Source organism: Homo sapiens, chromosome 13 (assembly GCF_000001405.40).
Source record: "Homo sapiens chromosome 13, GRCh38.p14 Primary Assembly".
Lineage (NCBI taxonomy): Eukaryota > Metazoa > Chordata > Mammalia > Primates > Hominidae > Homo > Homo sapiens.
In genome coordinates, this window is record NC_000013.11 from 33,476,169 (window position 1) to 33,501,255 (window position 25,087).

The 25,087-nt window shown below is 36.4% G+C and overlaps 1 protein-coding gene across 5 annotated transcripts in view, besides 1 other annotated feature; it reads right to left on the reverse strand.

Moving 5' to 3' along the window:
- The window catches only part of STARD13 (StAR related lipid transfer domain containing 13), a 573,658-nt gene that overhangs the window by 373,032 nt on the left and 175,539 nt on the right, over nt 1–25,087 (reverse strand). The gene's annotated exons all lie outside the window — the stretch shown is intronic.
- Nucleotides 13,316–13,892: an enhancer, noted in NCBI's record as "OCT4-NANOG hESC enhancer chr13:34063621-34064197 (GRCh37/hg19 assembly coordinates)". NCBI's record gives its function as "activates a minimal SCP1, AML or CMV promoter by ChIP-STARR-seq in primed H9 embryonic stem cells {active_cell/tissue: H9 hESC(primed)}" and the evidence as "EXISTENCE:reporter gene assay evidence [ECO:0000049][PMID:30033119]".

Genomic DNA, 25,087 nt, shown 5'->3' on the forward strand with positions numbered 1-25,087 from the left:
TCCCTCAAATTACTTTAATTGTGTTTACCATTATTATAATTAAGTAGAATCCATCTGGATTGAATAATAATAAAAAATGAGATTTTTAGTGATCTTTGATCCCAAACATTTTATCACTGTTGGACCTTCATATATATATTTAAAAACAAAATGTTTTCAAGTGTTGTACTGGTGTAAAGATTCTAGTGGTAAAAATTACCTAATCAGTTTTCAGCACTATATCTAGAATCAATCTTAGCAATGTGTGACACTCTTTTAAATAGCTAAAAAGAAATTATTGTGCACTTGTTCTTACTTTGTCCCTGTTTTGTGGTACATTATTTAAGTAAAAGGAGATCATTTATCCTCATACTAAATTTCCAAAACGGATATTTACCATTACCATTTTTGTAATGAAGGAGAGAAAAATTAATTGTCTTGCTTTGATAAGTTTGGCATAGGACCTCTGTTTTTGATGCTTTTGGACACTAGAATGCTAACAGTTAGACTTATGCAGGAAGTAACCTCACTACTTTAATACAATGGTTTAAAGTGCTGCAGGCAATAACCAGTAGACACCAAATAACAGTGTTTTAATTTGTGACATATTAGCTATTTTGATCAAGTATTTTGAGCCTTTTAACATCTTGAATAAACACCCTATTAATGAAGCCTTTTGACTTCTGGGTCTGAAAAAGACACTGACTCCTGCTAAATCTTGAACATTGACTCCAGTCAGAACCTTGTCTTCAGACCTGGGAGAAGGTGACACCAAAATGAATTGCTTTCGTGAGACACAGGGCCAGAAATTAAAGCTGTTCAATCCTTTGAGGTCCAGGGACTACTGTAAAAGAGGTGGGCACATGAGATTTTAAGAGCCGATTTTGACAGATAAAATTAGTTCAGGTATTCCAAATCAAGGATGGGCACACAATGCCCAAACAGCTGACAAATTAAGAAATGTTACCTCTCTAAATTCTTTAATTCAAATGAGTTTAACAAAATGCTTATGTTTTGTATGGCTAATTGCTACAAGTCAATATCTAAGACCAGGATTCAATTCTACAAACTTACTTTTCAGCTTTTGGTTTTGGGCTCTTAAAATGCTTAAAGGGTTTTCAGGGTTAATGAGTGCCTGCCCATCTCCATCCTGTCTGGCCTAAAATGTTTACTTGGCTATAAGACTTTTGATTCTAAGTCCCTTTACCACAGGGGTCCCATTAAGGGACAGGATAGACCTGGGGCAGGTAGCCACATCACCCCAACAATAATATGGGACAAAATAAAAATTTAGCCATTGATGCTGACTCTGGCAAATCTTGCCAAGGAACTGAGGAATGTAAACTTAAATTAAAATCCTAAGCTCCATGATGACTAAGTGAACCCACTTATGGTCAAGAAGACCCCAGAAAAAACTAAAACTGAATTGCCAGCCATGATGGGATGGGAGGTCAGACATGCCTTGTTATATCCTCTTCCTTTTGGAGTCTAGACACAACAACTGAATTACAGGTGTCACATTTTCATTCTTCATCCCATTATTCCACAACACCATTCCTCCGCATGAAGCAGCCAGAAAGATCAATGACCAGATTCCCCATGACTGAGAAATGAGGAGAAGGTACTGAAACCAGCCCAATTATCCAATAGAATTTATGTTTAGTTTATTTTGAATAAACGTAGAAATTGACCCTCCAAGTCTTAACAATTGAGAAAGTTACATTTGTCTTATCTGAGTTCCTTTCTCAAGAAACCAACCATCAGGCTTCCCAGATTGTTAAGGAACTGAAATTTCCAGGTCACTGCATCCAGACGGTAAGACTTCAGACCCCTCATTCATCATGACTCATGACTGCTTCCTTACCTCTCTCCAATTCCTGTTTTCCTAACTGACCACCTGCTTCCTGTTTACCAACTCCTATTCCTTACCCCTCCAATTCGTGTTTTCCTGCATGTAACTACATTCCTTTTTCCACTATGTAAACTCCCAATTTTAGTTGGCTGGGGAGATGGATCTGAGACTGATCTCCCATCCAATGCAGCACCCAATCAAGCCTTCTTCCCTGGCAATGCTTGTTGTCTCAGTGATTGGCTTTCTATGCAGTGAGCAACAGGACCTAGCCCAAATCCTTGGTGTTTCAGTAACACCTTCACCCACGAAGTCATATTGTTTTTCCTGATACCTGCCCAGGCTCTTTTGTAGGTGCCAAACCACTAAAATTACTATTGAGGACCTAAATTTTTCAAATCTCTTTCCTCAGGTATCACCCAAAATATTTTTTCACATTATATATTTTTTAACATTGATATTAAAAATCTTTGAACATGCACTTAAAGGTCAGAAAGGATATAAATTCTGGTGTATTATAAATATGATATTTTAATAAAACTGATGTTACTTTTTTTTCAATGTGTCCAATGTTATCTAAATTTCATCCATCTTGATTTCTACCATCACCCACTTAAAAAAGTAAAGTAAAAGGTCAGGCTGGGCATGGTGGCTCATGCCTGTAATCCAAGCACTTTGGGAGGTCAAGGCAGGAGGATCACTTGAGCCCAGGTGTTTGAGACCAGCTTGGGCAGCATGGCAAAACCTCATCTCTACAAAAAATAGAAAAATTATCCAGGTATGGTGGCATGCACCTGTAGTCCCAGCTATTCATGAGGCTGAGGTGGGAGGATTGATTAAGCTCTGGAAGTCAAGGCTGCAGTGAGATGTAACCATGCCACTATACTCCAGCCTGGGTGACAGAGGAAGACCCTGTCTCAAATAATAATAACAATAAAGTAAAAGGTCAAATTACAAATTGGGAAAGAATATTTGTTAAATATATCCCATTCAAAAAATTAATATCCTAATATATAAAGAGATTTTATAAGTAGGGAAAAAATCCAACAGCTCTATAGAAAAATGGGCTATAGAAATGAACATAATGATTCACAGAAAAGTAGATCACAATGCAAATGGCATTTAAACATATGAAAAGATTATCCGTCTTGCTCATAAGATAAATGCGTATTAAAACTACACAGAGATTCCATTTCTCATCTATTAGATAAGCAAAATGCCAAAACTTTAATAGCATTCTCTTTTAGCAAGAGGAAAGAGGCACTTGATGCACTGCTGGTGGGAATGCAAACACGGCATAACCCCTATGAAGGGGAATTTGATAGTATCTGGCAGAGCTCCCTGTGTATTAATCCCTAGATCCAGAACTGCATTCATTTCACTTTCCCAAAAATGCAGAGACAAAAATGCAAAAAGACAGATGCATACTACATCGTGGCATTATTTGTAAAAACAAAAGACCTAAAAGAGTCAAACATATGTCAGCAAAGGACTGCTTGGATAAATTATGGCATATCCATGCAATGGAGTGCTAAGGTGTTTGAACAAAGAAATAAACGTTCCTGAACAAAGAAATAAAGATTATCTCTATGTACTGCTATGGAGTTGACACAGATGTATTGTTGATATACTTTGGATATGTGTCCTCGCCCAGATCTCATGATGAATTGTAATCCCCAGTGTTGGAGGTGGCATCTGGCAGGAGGTGACTGGATCTTGGGGGTGGATTTCTCATGGATAGTTTAGCACCATTCTCTTGGCGCTGTTCTCATGATAGTGAATTCTCGTGAGATCTGGTTGTTTAAAAGTGTGTAGCACCTCCCTTCTTTTTGTTCCTGCACTCGCTATGTGAGATGCCTGCTCCCCCTTCTCCTTCTGCCATGATTGTAAGTCTCCTGAAGTCTCCCCAGAAGCCAAGCCAATGCCAGCATCATGCTTCCTGTATAGCTGCCTGTGGAACCATGAGCCAATTAAACCTCTTTTCTTTATAAATTACCCAATCTCAGGTATTTCTTTATAGCAATGTGAGAATGAACTAATACAATTCTTAAATGAAAAGATCAAGAGAGGGAGAAGGAATGTATAGTGTATTATAGTTTAGGACAGAAGGAATACTTGTATGTGTATTTATAACACACATATGCTATATATAATTTTAAAACAACAATAGAAGGATAGTCTAGAACTTGTTTTCAATGGCTGCCTATTGAAAGAGCAAGGAAATGGGGTGGAAGTAATAGAGATAGAAGCTAGGACTCATTTTGTATTACATATTTGAGTTCAGAACCATTAATATCTTACAGAATTATAGAACAATATTAAATTTTTAAAAATCCATAAAAAATAAAAGTGAACAAAATTAAGCTAAATATGTATCCACTTGGTGATATAACCATACAGAGAAGAAGTTGGTGTGATTTGCAAAAATGAATATTAAGTGTTTCTGGTACTTATGGTGGGTAGTAATAATGTTGGTTTTATCATTCTGAAACCCGTGTGCATATGTCATGGCATGAAACCATGACTATTATATGATATTCTACCATCCCTAGTGTTTTTTGAGAACCAGGATTATCACTACAGGAAAAGAAAAGACAGATATATGATTACAGCAGAGAAGTACACTGTAGTACTAAATTTAAGTTGAAATCATGAATATAAACTCATGATTATTTTGTTTTAAAAATGCATTCTTACACACATGTACATTTCTTCTATCTATCTAATGAAAAGGCTTAGAAACAATGACTAGTGTAGTAGCAATGAAATCCCCAGTTGTGGTTTCAAAATTCCATTTTGACTAAAAGGAAAGAGAACTCCTTGGAGAAATGACTAATTTCAGGAATAGAAAATGTTTATGATGATCCTGAAAGGTCTTATCATATGTAAAATCCGGGAAGCTATTAATAATTACTGGGGTCATGTAATTTTTTATTAGGGTCAGGATCCAACTTCAAGAGGCTCTCATTGACCAAAGATGGTAAACTTTAAGAAAAAGAACCATATTACCAGTAATGGCTTAAAGCATATCAAATATGTTTAAATCCATTAGTTTCTAGTGCCACTAAAAGCAATAACAACTAATAATTCACCACTAGAGGATCTCGGTGGATAAGGTCATTATTTTGAAAAATGGTAAATGAAAAGAATCAAGCATGAATCCTTCCTTTCCAATATGAATTGTACCAAGACATAACCAAATAGTAGATGGGAGAAGTTATTAAATTTAGAATAATTAATAGAATATACTAATGATTAATTCAAATATACTGCACTAATTCTGTATATTACCATTTGCAATTCTTGAGAAAATAATCATTCTAGGCATCGAATGACTCCAGCTGCTAACATCACAAAAAAGAAATAACCAGATATTAGATGTCTCTTAATGAAAGAAGGCAGCACCATTTGTGAAGTAGTTTTACCTAAAGATATTGAACCACAGTCTATTTGTGCTTTTAGATGCAACTATCAATTTATAGAAAACACGGAGGATAAAGGAATATGTTAAATGCAATCATCAAAGTCCAGTCTGTGTGAAATTTTAGAGAAAACACAATCTAATTTCTTCAACAAATAATTTAGTAAGGAAAAATAATTAAAAGAGAGAGAAAACTTGAGGTTGTGTGTGAATGTGAGAGAAGGAGGGGTAGGTGGAAAGAGAGAAGTAGTCAAATCCATAAATTAAAAGACTTTAGAGCCATATAACTAATTTTTATGTGTGGACTTTATTTGAACTCTGATTTAAACAAACTTAAAAAATCTGGGTTAGAAATATAAGCACTATCCTGGCTAACACGGTGAAACCCTGTCTCTACTAAAAATACAAAAAATTAGCCGGGCGTGGTGGTGGCGGGCGCCTGTAAGTCCCAGCTACTCGGGAGGCTGAGGCAGGAGAACAGCGTGAACCCAAGGGGCGGAGCTTGCAGTGAGCCGAGATCGCGCCACTACACTCCAGCCTGGGCTACAGAGCGAGACTCCGTCTCGAAAAAAAAAAAAAAGAAAGAAAAAAAAAGAAATAGAAGCACTGACTGGATATTTGATGATACTAAAAATTATTGATAATTGTAGGTATCACAATGACATTGTGGTTATGTTTTTAAAATGTCCTTATCTTTTAGAGATATATACTACAATTTTACTGATGAATTGACACAATGACTGGAATTTGCTTCAAAATAATATAGGTAAGGGAGATGTAGGTGGACGTGCAGATCAAACAGTATCGGCATGAGTCAGTAACTATGGCAGCTAGATAATGTGTACGTGAGGGTTCATGGCTACTCTTCTATCTAGTCTTGCTTATGTTTAAAAATTTTCACAATAAAAAGATGAAAACATCCACTAACAAGCTTGTTTTAAACAGTTTTAACAGTTTTTAACAGGTGCCTTTTCTTAAAATCCATTCCCGTTGCCCATCAGTATTTTGTCCTAATGTAATGAAAATCAATAAAAAGCATTTTGTTGATCACTAATTTATATTTCTACAACAAAAATAAGTATATAAAGATAGATTTTTAATCTTTAAAATTTTCATGCTGTGATGAGGTTCTAAGTGTTTCTTCCGTGTTTAACAATTATTTGTTGTAATTATTGATTACTGATAATACATAATTGATTAGAATTTTAAAAATAAACATGACATTTGTTGATAAATAATTATCAAAGGTAAAAGCACAATTTTTAAAAATGCATCTTTTAATGTGGTAAGGAAAGAATAGGGAAACTTAATTAAGGGAGGCTTTATGTTTTTAACTGTTCTTTTGTTTGGTACACTAGGCCAATATATAAAATGTAATTAGAATCCAACTTGAAGTTTGAAGTCTAGCCATAATCTAACAAAGAAAGTTTTCAGGAAAAATCCTCAGATTAGTTTGTATTTTAAAGTTTGTCTTTATCTTTTCTTAAAAATTAAGCAGATAGGAGAGAAGCAGAAAATCAGGTAGGAGGGAGGAGAATAATAACACTGACTAAAGGATTTGCATTGATTTGGGGACACCCTGGACCACCCTCCTGATTACAGTCTGGATTTGAATTCAATAAAACCTTCAGTATGCATTTCCCTATAGAACTTCACCTGGCAAGGAAGTCACAAAATTCTAAAGTGAGTTAAGGTTGCCAAATCCTTGGGAGTTGGAGGGCACATAATCAACAAGAACCTACCTAGAGAACTTTAAGATAATAAAATCTGGAATGAATTTTAACTAGGGATAAAAATCTAGAACAGCTGTGGATCTCCTAAGACCATGTGGTCCAAACTTACAGTGGTAAGTAGCCTCAGAAGTCAATTAAAATTAGAACATAACAGATCTATTTAATGTCAGGGCCAAATAAATAAATGAGCAATTACTAAAGAAGTTGGAAGAAAATTCTAATTTGAAAATAATTGATAATTTTCACCATATCTCAGGAAGTTTAAGAATTTCCAAAAATTGAAATTGGCCCAATTTCCACATAGAAATGATATTTACAGATTTTTGAATACACGTAGAAATTGACCCTCCCAGTCTTAAAACTTGAAACTTATATTTGTCTCATCTGAGATTCTTTCTAAGGAAAGCAACCCTCAGGCAAGGGATGGAAACTCACCAGATCACTCCATTTAGACAATGAGACGCCAGAACCATTATTCATCATGATTGCTTCCTTACAGCTCCCTAATTGTGGTTTTCCCACACTTGTAGTTACATTTCTTCCCCCACATATAAACCCCCCAGTTTCAATTGATCAGAGAGATGGATTTGAGACTGATCTCTCATGTTCCTCTGCTGATGTCACCCGAATAAAAAGCCCTCTTCCCTGGCAATACTCACACTCTCTGTGATTGGCTTTCTGTGCTGCAAGCAATGGGACCTAGACCAAACCACTGGCATTTCAGCCACAAATGCATGGCTATATGAAAAGTATATGATTTTCCCTAGAAAAACAAAATGAAATGAGACATTTGCCCAATAAAAGTCACTTAGAATTTCAGATTTATATAAAGTGTAAAAATTATTATTAAAAAATTCCAATACGGTGGGTTCAATAACTTGCATAAAATTAGGATGTGGTTGAAACCACCTTTGCAGAAGTTATAACAGTGAGAAAATTAAGACAGTGGAAGAGACCCAATCAAACCAACTCCATCTTGCCTTTAACCTCCAAACTGCCCTTGGTCATTCCTGGATGTGGGCCAGCCAACTTTGGGAGAAATTTGGTTTATGGTTTAAGTGATAATACTGCTTCCCAAAACTAAACTGTCTTTATAAAACTAAAACATGGTCACAGGTTAGAATTATGAAAGGGGCCTGAATTCTGCTAAGATGTAGGCATAGTTAAATGATTGCCAGCCATTGTTCTGGAGGTCACATGATTTGTAACTTCCCCAATTACTCCTATGAATAACATGACTATTGTAGAATCTAAAATTGACCTTTTGAGATGTCTTTTCAGACTTTTGCATTGCTGAAGACCATATGAATACACCTGGACATGTGACTCATGACTCAACTGGTCCTGTAGCCCCCACCCAGAAGCAAACTCAGTGCAGGAAAATCATTTTCCACACCCAATTACATCCCCAACCAATCAGCAGCACCCATTCCCTAGCCCTGACCTGCCTAACTACCTTTAAAAAACCCTCACTTCCAAAGTTTGGGGGAGGCTGATTTGAGTAGCAATAAAACTCCAGTCTCCCATTTAGCTGGTTCTATGTATATTAAACTCTTTCTCTATTGTAGTTCCCCTGTCTTGATAAATTGGCCCTATCTGGGCAGTGAGCAAGATGAATCAGTTGCTCAGGTGATTATGTAGTCATTTCCAAGTATGGGAGCAGAAGTTAGGGAAGATAAACCAAGAAATAGAGGTAAGGTAATCTCATAAGATGATACATTAAGTATCTAAATTTATGCTCAATTTCAAAGTCTTAGATCACCTAAATTTCAAAATATCAATTTAAGGAGACACTTCATCCAACCATTCATAACCTTTAACACTACCAGCTAATATTTGAAACAACTAGAATAAGTAAACCACTGCAATACAGGAAGAAGAAAATAGCAGATTCACATACTGAGAAACTGATCTCTATTATTCAAAATCAGTTATTTTGACAGATTTGTAAATTAAGCCTAGGAATATTTTCTCTCAAACTCCTACTTGGTAAATTGCAAATGCAATTAGTGGAAATGCATTCAGATTTACTTGAATGAAGTGAATGTCAAAAATAAGTAGACAGCTAATAGTTTTATTACTGTCTAGTTCTTCTGAAACTCAAAGGCATTTTTAATTACCGAAGTGAAATGTTCCATGATGTTACAAAAATCTTTGAAGTGAGACCAGTTTAAAGTATAAAACATTTGTTTTTAAAATGTTTCTGACTTTCAAAAAACTCTCCAAGAAATTAGGAAATTATGTAAATATGCAAAACATATCCACAATATTTAGCCCTCAAACTTAAAAAAAAATGCTTTGTTGGCATAAACTCATTAGAAAACAAATAAGAGTTAATGTTTTAAAGAAGAACAACATAGATTATAAAGTAATTTCCAGCCCTGAAAATTTTCTTGTGCTACATGAAGATATTGTGGAAATGGCTGGGCCTTGCTAATTCCCTGACAAAGAGCTGAGAATCTGATCCTCCAGAGGGACAGAATTCCCATTATCACTTGAAATTGAGACTAAATGAGGTAATAGATATGCTATACCTTTGCATTTTATTAATGCCTATACAAATATAAGGTACCATCATTGATAGTACTAAAAGTCAAATTACCAAAAACATTTGTTTCTAAAATATTTTTGACTTTCAAAAAACACTCCAAGAAATCAGAAAATTATACAACCTTTCAATTTCAAATTATTTCAACGCCAAAGAAGGTCCATGCAGAGATGCAAGAAGAAAACAAGAATTAGACTGGGCTAAAATAAAATGAATTAATTATCAGGTGTACTTTGGTGAATTGAAGATAATCAAAATGTGGAATGCAGAAAGTGTGCAATTCAGAGCGCTGAAGATGGGAACAATTCACTGTAGACCCTTGACTGACTGCTTATAAATCATGGTCAGAGTGCTCCTAACTGATTTCACCTGCATTTTGAGATCAGCCCTGACCTAGAGTGACCCTAGGGAAAGAAGTAGATTGGAGTTATTTCTTGGGATTTGGACCCAGAGACTCCTGAAGTGTCCTCAAGAGCCACTAATAGAATGTGAATGGGTTTCTCAGTGTCCATACACTTAACAAGTATGGGCTTGTTAACAAAGTAAAGGGGCTAAAGTGGGACCGAGAAGAGGGCAGCTGCAGAGTTGGAAGCTTCAAATCCTTTCTTTCCTACATAATGATACATTTCAGGCATCCCAGTGGATGCCCGAAATTGTGCATAGTACCAACCCCTATATAAACTATGTTTTTTCCTATATGTACCTACCTATGATAAAATTAACTTATAAATTGGGCACAGTAGGAGATTAACAACAATATCTAATTATAAAATAGAACAATTAAAACAATATACTGTAATAAAAGTTATGTGAATGCAGTCTGTCTGAAAATATCTTATTGTACTGTACCACTGTAAATTCAAACTCTGGAGAGTGAAACCGCAGAGAAGTGGGCACTACTGTCCTCTTTCCATCTTTCCTTATTGATGCTTTTTTCCAATATGTGATTTGCATGGCTCATGTCCTCCACTATTCTGTTTACTGACACACTTCTTTGCCTCATCACAGCCATTCCTCTCCCCTAACAACTCCTCTTCCAAAACACAAGCTCTTGCACTTGAACACTGCCTGCCTTTTGCCTGCAGAAAGAAAAGCAGTGCCTTCAAAAGAGTACCTCCACAGTGACCTGTTAGGACTTTTATGACATAGGGAGAGCAGTTCCTCATTGACCTTTAAAAAGTTTCCTCCACAATAAATTGTGCTGCCTGCCATATTGCATCATTGAAAATATGACATTTTCTATTGGAGAACAAGTTACTCAAGCCAAATCATTTTTCTAAACTCACCGTAGCCTGGAATAACCATTTATTATTAAAACAATGACCTTTTAGAAAGTATGGTTATTGGTCTCTGTCATATTGTTTGAGCACTCCCAAGCTCTATGACCTTGGGCAACTTAACCTCCCTGAGCCTTGGTTTCTTCATCTAGAAAATGTAGACATTAATAAAGCCTGTATCACAAAGTTGTGAAGATCAAATGAAATCATCCATGTAAAGCTCTTAGGACTCTTTTAGCACAAAGTAAGGAAAATCTTAGCAGCTGCTGATGCTGTTGCTGTAGTTGTATTTATTATTGTTGTTGATTTTGTTACTATCATTATATGTGTAAAGGATATGCTTTTTTCATTTTCCCTGGGATCTAGTTAGTCCAGTTTTCACAATTATCATCTCACACATAGACACGGAAAAGAATCCAAAAGTTAAAAATACACAAAATTACTTTGGCTACATCCCTTATAAATGAGGAGACATTAGTATATTTTAAATAGTCTGTGAAAAGAAAAGAAAGGGGGAAAGTTCAGAATGTGGATGTAAGATAAAGGCTCTAAAAGGAGGAGAGACATTCCCAAGACTCTGGGCTAGGGATGGAAGAATGTTATGAGAGTTTCATGAGATCCCGGTGCACTCACATCATTAGAAAGCTTTTAATTTGGGCACCTTCATAATCTTCCTTGTTCAAAAGTGTTAACCTTGGTCTATTACAATGCCCTTACTCTCCTTAATACACGAGATTTTTCTCAATGAATTGCTTGCCTTGCCCTCCAAAGCCACGTTCCTCAATCTTACTTTCTCTTTTAGTTATCATCCACAAACTTCACCAAGCTTATACTTATGCTGCAGTGTGTGATCCATCTGACAGTCACTTCTTCACCTTTTGCAATCTGGCATACAACCCATCACTCAATGAAAAATATTCTCTCTGTGACCTCTTGCTCAGCTATGTCCTTGTATTTGTGAGCTCCAAAGGTCTGTTCTCTCAGTGCTGGTCTTCCAGGGCAGCTTCAAAGCATCTAATCCTCTCCTTCCCTTGGTGATACCATTCTTCCTTGGCTTCTATGATACTGCCCTCTCCTGGTTCTTGTTTGTGTGTCTCTGGTCACTGAGCCTTCCCCTCTAGTTCCTCTTCCTCTGCCTCTCCCTTAAGTGTACATATTCCCTAAGGTTCTGTCCTTAATCTTCCTTTTTCTCATTACTCCTTCCTCTAACTACAGTTATCTTGATTTTGAAGACCCAGGCTGCCAAATCTCCATCTCCGCTAGCACGATTCCGGAGCTGCATCCAGAGGGCCACCTTAGAGGTCTACCATGCCTCAGCTCAAGAGTCCCCTCATCCAGGTGTGCTTCTCCTCGGTGCTTTATTTCTTAATTAATTGCACCTTCATCAACTCTACCCTTCCGATTTAGAAGCCTCAGTATTATCTTTGATTTGTATTTCTGTGTCAATCACAAATAAAATCAACAATCAAACCCAATTACTTCTGTCTACAACATCTTATTTCCAATATCTGGCTCTTTCCTCCTCAAAAATCTTCAATGGATCCCAATTGCCCCTCGAGAATAGAATGAAGATTTTTAAGAATGAGATCAAAATATTACTAGGCAATGATCTTCCTTTTGGGCATGAATACTCATTATCTTCATGAATTCTATGCTTTTTCTTCTACCAGACATTTCCTGATCATACAAACACTTTCAAGCTTTTGAATCTTGGCACATGAAATTGCCCTAAGCTGGAATATCCTTTCTTCTCTCCAACTACTGGAATCCTATCTATCTTTCAAGTTCAAATACCAACTTCTCTCTGTAGCCTTCTTTGATATTCACAGAATTCATCCCTCTTTATGCTGTGATCATATATGATTTTGTGTTAACACATTTAAAGCATTTAAGTCATGCTTATTAACACATTTTCTTTACCTGAATTTCAGACTCATATTTAATTCCCCAACAATCATCTCCACTGGGTTAACCCTCAAGTCCCTCAGATTCATTACACTCAAGTTGAACACACCCTGCTGACTGGACTTGGTCTTCCTGCAGTGTGCTTTCTGCTGGGAGTCACCCTTCATTCTTCCATCTCTTTCTAATTTCACACCCTGCCTAAATGATTCTAGCTTCTAAATATCTTTCTAAGGTATTCACATCTCTTCCCCCACTATTAATAAACTAGTTCATACCAGCATATTTTATTATTAGTTTTCTTCCTCTGGTCAATGATTAATCAATTGATTAGAATTGCTAATAAAAAAAGATCAACTCTCAGTTCAGGAAAATAAATATCAAGTTATATAATCTATATGTAGTCATATAGCCTTTATAGTTTTCTGCCTTCTCTTTTAACTTCCATAGGGCAACTCACTATAGTAAAGCCTTTTGTGTTATTAAGTTATCTCTTGGTAAACCAAGTTAAAAATTAATTTAGTGGTCCAGTATTCAGATATTTTTCTATTTAGTTATAATAAAAGCTAAGAAGCCATCATATTATTCTTCATTTTCTTTCTCTGACCAATGTCTAATACATGACTTAGAGAAATTAAATGTTACTTTTATGTGGGTCAAGTCCAATCAACTAATAAAAAACAGGATATAGACATCTGAAAACAATGTACCTATTAAAATTTCCTTTTATACTTTCTTTTCAAAGTGTTTAAATTAGAGTTTAATGGAAAGTATGAAGTAATTTACTTATCCAGCTTCTACGGCCAAAATGGAATGTGCTAATTTTATTAATCTGAACAATGGTGGCTTGCATTTGAAAAGCTCAAGAAACAGCGACGCACCATGGGGCTAATCACTTCAAGTTTTCTTTTCTTTATCTCTGCCCATTTTGCAAGTTCTCATTATTTGCATGAAGACTCTCAGAGAATTACCAGACCAGAAATGTAACCCATTGTATTCTTTCTTCTAAAAGGGGTAGAAATCATTTTTGAGATCATTTTCAAAATTGGAACATTGCTGAAAGGAAAAAAATCAAATGGATCGATAACCTTGAGCTTAAGGAAAAACTGTATGTTAAGCAAGCAATGGTTGTGACATAAAGTAATAATATTACTCATTAAGTAAATTTTTTTTAAACTTTCACATAAGTTTAAATAACCACTAACAGAATTTTATCTGATACAATTATAAATGGAATTAATGACAATAGTTTACAACCTGATTTCAAAAATTTGTTTTTTTATGTGTTTTAAGGAATTCCACATGCTTATTTTGCGCTGGGGAATTAATTTGAAATAGCAAATTGAAGGATGCTAGTAGGTATGTACTATACTGATATGGACAGGAGACAGGGAAATACTGGGTAGAAGAAGGCAGTTCCCCGGCAAAGGCCCCACCCTCAAGCCTGGATACTCATGGCCCTAAATGAGAACAAATATTCCTGTTTTCGCGCTCCTCTTTGGTCCGCCACATCCCCTATCCTGCACCCACATAAACCCCAAATCCCAAGCTCCAGAGCAGACCAGCAGGTGAGGACACAGGAGGCAAGCAGACCGACAGTGGAACAACGCGGCAGAGAGAAAGAAGAGTAGGGGCATCTGGATGCTGAGAGGAGTTTGGCTGGGGGTGGTGCAAGAGGAGTTTTGCCTCCGGCCGCTGGGTGGCCCAACTCCAGGGGAAGATACCTTCCCACTCCATCCCCCAGCCCCCGCCCTTCCAGCTTCCCATCCACCACACTGAAAGCCACCTCTACCACTCAATAAAACCTCACATTCATCCTTCCAGTCCGTGTGTGACCCAATTTTTCCGGGACACTGGACAAGAGCTCGGGATACAGGAAGCTGTCACACTGGCCCTCTGCCCTTGCGAAAAGGCAGAAGGTCCACTGAGCTGATTAACACTCAAGCCGTCTGCGGGTGGCCAAGCTGAAAGAGCTTTGTAACACTGAGGTTGCAGGCACCCACCATTAGACATTACCATGGGGCCAGAGCCCAAAGTGCTCGCCCTGGCCTCTGCACCTGCCCATCTGCATGCTCCTCCTCTCACAAGGGGTCTGAGCAGTGGGCAACCGAACAAGGGAGCCATACCCCTGTCTCATATCCTGTAAAGGGAGTCAGGGAAGTCTCCCGTTTCAATACTATGTGGCCATGTGACTTGCTTATGACATGCTAGAGAATGTGCCAGTGGTAGATGGGCAGGCTGTTTGTAATGAAAATTAAAATGCAAGTTCTGTGCTGAACTGAACTGTTGAAAGGATAACAGACCTTGGAAAAATGCCAGGTAGAAAACGGAAAACATTTCTCCATGGTATTTCTGGTACGTGGCACCACAGTAGACACTCAACAAATATTTTTGAATAAATGAATGTGAGGGCTGAGTTAGCTTAGGAGACATTAATATAAAATTGAAAACATTGATGATTTGATTGTCTAAGATCAGAGCAGTCCCTTAAGAAAAGAAATCCCAAATCATGTATTAGGAGAGAACGTGTTCTAATCTGGAAAATTTCAAGATTATTGTTTTGTTCATTTCTTTGTTTTTTTCTTTTTAAAATCCAATGAAAGGATTTAGCAAAAATTCCTAAGAGTCTATATGGTACATTTCATCAGTGATCTGTGAGACCTTGGGGGTTGAAAAGAAAGTACAAGAACTTAGCCTCACTCTGTTGTAGACTTTATAAAATACAATCAAGGATCTCTGTCTAAAACCACTTCTCATAAAAAAATGGTTTATAAACTTTATTTGCACATTACAACCTTAGAGATAAATAATAAAATGGAAATCTAGAGTCCAGCCTAATCTGTTTCTCCATTAAACCTCACACAATGTGATGAGGAGCTGTAGAGTTCTGAGGAATAAGGTTTGAAACCTGTTGTCCCAGAGGATTCTTCTGAGGAACCTAAATGCAAGAACCTCTGGTAGTGAAATGATGACAATTGAATGTTTTCACTCGCGTCCATGTGAAGAGACCACCAAACAGGCTTTATGTGAGCAATAAAGCTTTTTAATCACCTGGGTGCAGGCGGGCTGAGTCCGAAAAGAGAGTCAGGAAGGGAGACAGGGGTGGGGCCGTTTTATAGGATTTGGGTAGGTAAAGGAAAATTAGTCAAAGGGGGTTGTTCTTTGGCGGGCAGGGGTGGGGGTCACAAGGTGCTCAGTAAGGGAGCTTTTGAGCCAGGATGAGGCAGGAGAAGGAATTTCACAAGGTAATGTCATCAGTTAAGGCAGGAACAGGCCATTTTCACTTCCTTTGTGATTCTTCAGTTACTTCAGGCCATCTGGATGTATATGTGCAGGTCACAGGGGATATGATGGCTTAGCTTGGGCTCAGAGGCCTGACAGATATTGTAATAATACAGTTATCATTTACTGAATGTCTACCAGATCTAGGTACTTCCCAGAGCTTATTTCATTGATTCTGAGTTAAGTATTATGTCAGAGGCGTGTGAACCAGAGCAACTCCATCTTGAATAGGGGCTGGATAAAATGAGGTTGAAACCTACTGGGTTGAATTCCCAGATGGTTAAGGCATTCTAAGTCACAGAATGAGATAGGAAGTCAGCACAAGATATAGGTCATAAAGACTTTGCTGATAAAACAGGTTGCAGTAAAGAAGCCAAACAAAACCTACCAAAACCAAGATGGCAATAAGAGTCATCTCTGGTCATCCTCACTGCTACACTTCCATCAGGGCCATGACATTTTACAGATGCCATGACAACGTCAGGAAGTGACTCTATATGATCTAAAAAGGGGAAGTATGAATAATCCACCCCTTGTTTAGCATATAATCAAGAAATAACCATAAAAATGGGCAACCAGCAGCCCTTGGGGCTGCTCTGTCTATGGACTAGCCATTCTTTTATTTCTTCGCTTTCCTAATAAGCTTGCTTTCACTTTACTCTGGACTCACCCTGAATTCTTTCTTGTGCGAGATCCAGGAACTCTCTCTTGGGGTCTGGATCAGGACCCCTTTCCAGTAACAATTATGTCTCTTTTTAACGAGAAAGCTGAGTTTCATGGAGGTTAAACTGCCAAAGTCACTCAAATGCTAAGTGCACTTTTGACTATTCAACTGCTTCAAATATGACACAACAAAAGAACAGGCATCTCTTACTGCATAGATTTTCTGAAGTATCCTCCTTCTGTCGAACAAGGTTCTGTGGTGCTGGGAGATGTACGGACTTCCAAGCAGGTTAAATTTTCCAGAGGGAATCAGCAATGTGTGTGATTAGGGGTGGAACAGCTAAAAAGTTTGCCATGATCACCTGACTTTTAGGAACCATAAACCCATTATCACAACAGAGCCTCCTTGCGGAACCAAGGCTCAGACACTCACACAACCCCTACTTTAGATTCAGGGATCTTGTCTGGGGCCTGATTTATCACACTCAACTATCCCAACCCCTCCAAAGTCCCAGAATGAACACAGAAGTGATCTCACGTGATCAGTAAAGCTGCTTACGCATTTGTCCAAACCGGTAGAACTATGCAACACAGTGAACACTAATGTAAACAATGGCTTTACTTCATAATAATGTATCATACTGATTCGTCAATCATAGCAAATGCAGATAATAGGGCATACTAACATCTAAATAATAGGGAGTATTAGTAATAAGTAATAAATAATACAGAATATTAACACCTAAAGAAAGATGTTAATAAGAGAGAAAACTGTGGGGGTGCGCAGTATTTGGGAATGCTGTACTTTCTGCTTAATTTTTCTGTAAACATAAAATTGCTCTAAAAATTAAAGTTTATTAGTTTTTTAAAAAGTAGCTATTTTCTGGATCAACTGTATAAAACAATGCATATCCAAAAGAAGACAAATATTGAAGTTAAGAAAATTCAAATCTAGGATTTACTCAGCCTCTAACTAACTCTTCAGCCCCACACTTAAACTTGTACATTCACAGAAAGTGGCCAGTTGTTGGCTGCACCCAAGGTCAAAGGTAGGTCTGAGTGGAACACAGCTATGAAAAAAATCCACAGGTTGGTGCCAGGTTAATGACATTTCTGATGAGACCGTAAACGACTTGGTGCGGGTTTCTCATCAGACAGAGTAGTAAACCCAAAAAGGCAAAACCACTTTGGGAACCCTGTGTTCATCAAGATACCTGATTACCCAGAGTTAGCTGCTCACTTCCAAGTTTCCTTTGAAACTGGGACAGAAAGCGCTCCAATTCTTTCTGAACTCCAGGTCTAGTGTAGAAGCAGAGCAGATGCTTCCTTCCCATTTGACTTGAATGCCACCTTCTCAGTGCAACATTCACCAAACAACCACTTTAGAACTGCAAACCTTCACTCCGGCCACCCAGTATCCCCTTTCTGATGTTATTTCAACTCCACCCCCACCCGGGGCACTTATTGCCATTAATAAGCACACTACACATTTTACTTACTTTGTTTATTGTTTCCTCACCTGACTAGTCTAAATTCCAGGAGAGCCGTGATTTTATTATTGTGTCCTCAGCCCCTAAATGCAGTACCTTGCATTTAGCATGCTTCCCATAAATATTTGTTGATTCGAATGAATAAACCACCACTTGCAAGACGAAATGGGCGTGAAAAGGAATTATAATCAGAACAATCAGAGTTTAAGGCTCTCCTGCTCTACCTCCCCCACCTTTCTGCATGGGCTTTCCCGGCTTATTTTTGACACACTGCATTTGGTCGTTGTCTACTACCAGTGAGAAGATTGCTGAAGATAGAACAGTGGTCAACAGGATTGACTGTTAAGATTATAGTCCAGATGCAACTGGATGGAGGCTTCAGGAAAATAGCTTTTTGACCAAAAAAGCAGTACTTTTTTTTTTTATTTCACTATAGCTAGCACAATGAGAATGACCAGTTGGCCACTTAGGACAATTGCCAGAGAGATTATATGATACACTCTATAGAGGTCACAATGTCACGGTTTTCTTTGCTGCTGCACCAAAAAAAGAAATAACTAGTCCAGACCACTTACACACAGTAGAAAACATAAAAACAAATGCGCCCCCAAAAGACTCTACTTAGGGTTCCCACGACAAGTCTTCCAAAATCAACAGTGCAGTCTGTCTGAATGTTATCAATGCTCACTAACCATGCATTCCCATGACATGACTCAGTGACTCCATTTCCTGCCTACACTTCCGCTAGCTCTGGGCCTCACTTTGAGCTTGTCTGTCAAGTATAGTAATGCCAGATACTTCTAGCTCCTACATGTACACCATAAAAATACTTCAGAAAATACACAACACATGAGAATAATATCAGAAACCAATTTACTTCCCAATTTCATCCATTCTTGTGATTGTACCTGTCAATTAAAAAACTATTCAGAACTCTATCACATTAGGTTTTCTTAGACATCACTTAAGCCAATTATCATCTTAACCATTTTAAGTGGACAGCTCAGTGGAAATGTGGAATTTTGAACTTGTCTTTTACATTAGAGACTTGTTAAGAAAATGCTAACTTATCAAATAATATGAGCTCCTCTATACATGGTACTATTCGAGAAAGCCTTGAAGATAAATGATAAACATTTACAAGGGGCAGCATGAACTAAAGTTAAAGGACGGGAAAGCTTGAACACTTTCTTCATGTGGATCACTTACTTTCTTATTAGTCTTGAGTAAAATATTTAAATATTTGTGTCTCAGATTTCCAATCTTCTAAACAGGATGGAAATATTTGCCAAATACTTGCCATGTATATATTTTCTTTGAATAAAGCTAGTAAGAAGGAAGAGGAGCATGGTTTTGAATTGTTTTGTATTACTCTCTGTTTTCCATGCCTCTTTTATAATGGATGATTTAAATCAATTTTCATCTTGAGCTAATAATCTTTCCACATTTAATATAATTTATTTTTTATTCAGACAAGTATTATAATATAATCATTTTATTATTACATAATTAATATTATACAATTAGAATGTACTATAATTATATAATATATAATTATATAATGATTACATATAATTATATATAGTTATGTTATTATATTATATAGTTATATATTATTGTATATAATTATATTATTTAATTATATATAGTTAATATATAATTATTATAATAGATAGTGAATATAAATTATTATAATTATATATAGTTAATATGTGATTATTATAATTATGTATAGTTAATATAATTATAGTTATATATAGTTAATATATAATTATATTAACTAAATAATTATTTAAATAATTTTATTTTTATAATATATTTATAATCATTTTAATTTATGATTTTATAATTTCTACTTATTTAAATATAATTTATAATATACTTATATAATTTCTAATGTAAACATAATATAATTTATAGTATAAATTTTATAATTTACATATGCATTATAGAATTTACATATGAATTATAAACTTTATTCTTTTATAAATTAAAAATAAACTCAGTTTATTTTATTAAAAAATAAAGTGTATTTACAATAGCAAATACATTTGCAGCTAACACTGCCTCATTATTATTGTTACTATTACTATTATTAATTTATTTAGAATAATTGGTCAGTTTCCATAATATCCTCATGGTAAAAACTTCCTCATGGTATCATTTTTAATATACAGTTCTCTCCCTAACTTATCATCCCACTTGATTATGCAATTTCTCTTCTTATACATGTTATAAAAATTTGTTTAGGTCAGACATTTGTGTAATATCAATTCATCTGAATCACCTGTATGCATAGGCACATATAGTATGTTTTTAAGTATCAAGCATCCAAATGGCTTCCATGTTTAACTCTTTTTCTATAACACTGGAACAGGTACACATACAGAAGAGTACTTTTAAATTTCATGATGATGATTATGATAGTGATGATACAGTTTATACATATTCATTGCTGTTTTTTTAAACAAAGAAGAAATGTATGCCATTTTGTCTCAACATCAAATGATAAATTTTCAAATTCTATTAGATCCTTGAGTTTTGAAAATCTTTATATAGTTTCGTTTCTGGATAAATTTTGGCTATGTGATAAGCTGCTCTCTGTTTTGTTGCAATTATCCTACAAGTACCGTTTTTCTCAACTGAACCTCAAGTATATAACAAACAGATAATTTTGTAAGAGAACTCTGTTTTGTCTTATTTTCACAGCTTTGTGGTTATTCTTTATGGCAAGGAAAATAGACCTTGGGTATCCTCCCAAATTTTGAGAAGAATAAAAGACAGGCTTAGCTTAATTAGCACGACCTCAGAATGAGTCCCATCACATCCCAAGACCTTTAAGTTTCCCAAATCATTAATCTAATTACCATCCTGAAAAAAATGATCTGCTGGGCTCCTCCATGTGCAAATGTATGTTGTTGACGTTATGTGCTAAATATTAAGATGTAACCAAAAATACACAGTCTACTTCTTTTCCATGAAGACTGAATGTTTATTTTGTTCTCTGAGTAATATTAGTCATCTAAAGGACTGTGTATAAGGCTGTACTCAGCCTGAAATTTCATTTCCTCTATCAGCAAACAGAGTTGAAGCTATGATTATGTCAACCTTGGGAAGTCTCTATTTTGATAAAGAAGTGAGAAAGGTTTTCCAAGATCATAAAAATATTTAGTAAACAGGTGGTAGTATGAGCCTTTAGTTCTAAATCACAGCTAAATCACGCAGTCACTCCTCCTAGTTATCTTGACACTGCTCCACTTATTTCTCTCTCCTCTTCAATATACAAACCTGTCAAGTTCACTTGGTGGCCAAATTAGCTGATTTGTTTATTCTATCTACTATCTGCTTTAAAAATCACTATTAGTCTTTCCCTGTCTGTCTAGAGCTATTACTGTAGTTTCAACATCCACCAAGTGCCAAGTACTATTGTGTCTTCTCATAGGTCTAGTGATCCCTACTCATTGTGGAGAGTATCAGGTTTGGTGAAGGTGGAATTAGACGTGTGAGAGCGTCCTGGCATATACAACCCTTGCAACTCTGAAATGATAATGATTTAGTAAATAACGTAATTACTTTTGTGGTTCTACTATGTTACTTTAGTATCAAGGGAATTGATAAATACAGACATGCAAAACTCTGTAATACGAAATGAGTTCCTTCACCATGTGCATCAATAACAACCAACTTTTTACTAGCATAACATAATCTAAGACATTACAATAGTGGCTAATAAAAAAGAGCTGTCATACCAAGAACTGATTTCAAAGAGACGAACTAGAAGCTACTGATACTTCCATGTGTCTAAATTGAAGTTTTAAAAGCATCTAGTTCTTTGCAAACAGAGAAAAATAATACATTTACTCTTGAGTCTTAAGTCAATATGAAATAGTTAGAAGCACAGCATGACAACTGATAACCTTCAATTATAAGAACTTGGAATTCTCCTCTGCTAAGTGCACACTCTGGGTCAAAGTGTTATCCCAATGTTGATGAAAAAGGTTTTAATGGAAATGATATGAGTGAGAGTTAAATAGATCAAAATTCAAGTTCCTCTAATGATTTTACATTAGGGATTGTTAGAGCCTCTTTATTTCAGAATATTGCAGTGGGTCATGAATTCGACTTTTTAAAATATTTGCATTTTTGTAATAGGCAAGAGATAAGGTAATAGGACCTCTATTAATATAATGAAAGAAACATAAGATTAGCTTTGGGTAGAAAAGATAATCAATGAGATTGAATGAGTTTAAATGCTTTCTATTATTAAATGGGTCCAAATTATACATATTAAATGACAATTTAAAATAACATCTTTGCAAGATAAGATACAAATATTTCTTGTATTAAATAAAAAATGCTAAAATGGTACAGAGAAAGATAATAATGAATCAAAAGTAAAGAGTACATTCAGCTATGATCCAAGTTATAAAATAGTAAAGAAGGCATACATTGTATCTCCTTCATATTTTCAATATTGCATATTTGCATATGCAATGCTTCAGAAATACTGAGAGAGGAATCTTGAAATAGTCTCAAATTCTTCCTACCACAACAAAACTATTTTGAGTACACTGCAGCACTTTCGGAGGCCGAGGCAGGCAGATCACCTGAGGTCAAAAGTTCAAGACCAGCCTGGCCAATATGGTGAAACCCCGTCTCTACTAAAAATACAAAAATTAGACAGGTGTGGTGGCACATGCCTGTAATCCCAGCTACTCGGGTGGCTGAGGCAGGAGAATCACTTGAACCCAGGAGGGAGAAGCAGCAGTGAGCCAAGATCACGCCATTGCACTCCAGCCTGGGCAGCAGAGTAAGACTCTGTCTCAAAAAACAAACAAACAAACAAAAACAAAAACAAAAACAAATTTTAGCACAGAGTGAGCCTCAGAAATTATTTAATCTGATAATCTTATGTTTATAAATGACAAAACTGAGGTTGAAAAAAGTTGAGTGGGTTGAACAAGTATATTAGTCAGCTTAAGCTGCCATGACAAAATACCAAAGACTGGTTGGTTAAATAACATAAATTTATTTCTTATAGTTTCAGAGGCTAGAAGTCCAACATCAAGGTGCCAATGTGGTTGGCCTCTGGTGAAAGTTCTCCTTGGGTTGCAGATGGCCACTTTGTTGCTATATTCTCACATGGCAGAGAGAAAAGGAGCTCCAGGCTCCAGTCTTTTCTCCTTCTTCTTCTTCTTCTTCTTTCTTTCTTCTTCTTCTTCTTCTTCTTCTTCTTCTTCTTCTTCTTCTTCTTCTTCTTCTTCTTCTTCTTCTTCTTCTTCTTCTTCTTCTTTCTTCTTCTTCTTCTTCTTCTTCTTCTTCTTCTTCTTCTTCTCCTTCTTCTTCTTCTTCCTCGTCCTCTTCTTCCTCTTTCTCTTCTTCCTCTTCCTCTTCCTCTTCCTCTCCTTCTCCTTCTCCCTCTCCCTCTCCCTCTTCTTCTTCTTCTTTCTTTTTTTTTTTTTTTTTTTTAGAGACAAGGTCTTACTCTATTCCCCAGGCTACAGTGCAGTAGCACAATCATAGCTCACTGCAGCCTCAAACTTCTGGGCTGAAGCAATACTCCAGCCTCAGCCTCCCAAGTAGCTGGGACTATAGGCACCTGCTGCTGTGCCCAGCAAATTTTTTGTTGTTGTTGTTCGCTGTGCTGCCTAGGCTGGTCTTGAACTCCTGGCCTAAAGCAATCCTCCCACCTTGGCCTCCCAAACTGCTGGGATTACAGGCCACTGTGCCTGGCCACGCTTCCTCTTCTTACAAAAATACTAATCCTATCATGAAAGTCCTACCCTCAAGACTCTACCTTAATTACCTCCCAAAAGCCCCACCTCCAAATACCATCACATTGTGGGTTGGAGCTTCAACATATAAATTTGGGAAGGAGGGACACGAACACTCAGTCCATAACAATGGATTGAGAAAAATTTAGAGTGAAAGTAAGGACTAGAACCTAGGCCTGCTGAAATCCTGGCCAGCCATCTTTTCAAATGAAATTATTGGTTGATTCTAACTTACATTATTTGACTTCTAAAATTAATTGTGCAATTTTTAAAAACATAGTTGAAATAATGCTAAGGATTAGAAAACCAGCAGAGAAGGAAAATGAGATTGACAATTTCCTACAGTTCTGTATCATTATACTTATAAAAGTTTTCCTATGTCATTTGATGCCTGTCTCATATCATTTCACTATGTTCTTTTTTAATAATCAGCCTTAATGCACCTGAACAGAATGTATTAAAGATGTTCAATGAAAAATTTTTCTTGCTGCTAAATAAATCCATTTTGGGTGCTCTTTGGGTTGTTATTTCTTCAGACACAATCAGTTGAGTGCTTGATGAAATCCTTTCTGCCTCAGACTGTGATGACTTCTAACATTTTGTTTATATATTTAGCAGCAAAAGGAATCAAGAGCTGCCAAGTATTATTAAAGTAGAACCAACTACAGCAGGAATTCTATCATGAGGGCAGCATCACTAATGAAGTAAAGCAGTGAGATAGAAAATTCTAACCATAACTCCAGTTTCTAACTCCTCATGATATGGGGACATTGATTCTCTTACTGTTTTTCAATTTAAACAATGGAGATAACCAACTTGTATTAAGGATTCTCAAATAATGCTTCAGTATGCATATAATAATTATAAAATGCTTGCTTTTTAAGGAAAAACAGTATAACTATCGGAAAAATATTTATGGTCTTAAAAAAAAAAACCTAAAAAAATAACAAAAAACCCTGCCACATCACATTTCTTTCCTCTTCTCTCTCTCCTTTTTTTTTTTTTTTTTTTTTTTGAGACAGTGTTTTGCTCTGTTGCTCAGGCTGGAGTGCAGTGGCACTATCTCAGGTCACTCTGTCTCCCGGGTTCAAGCAATTCTCCTGCCTCAACCTCCTGAGTAGCTGGGATTACAGGCACCCACTGCCACACCAGACTAGCTTTTGTATTTT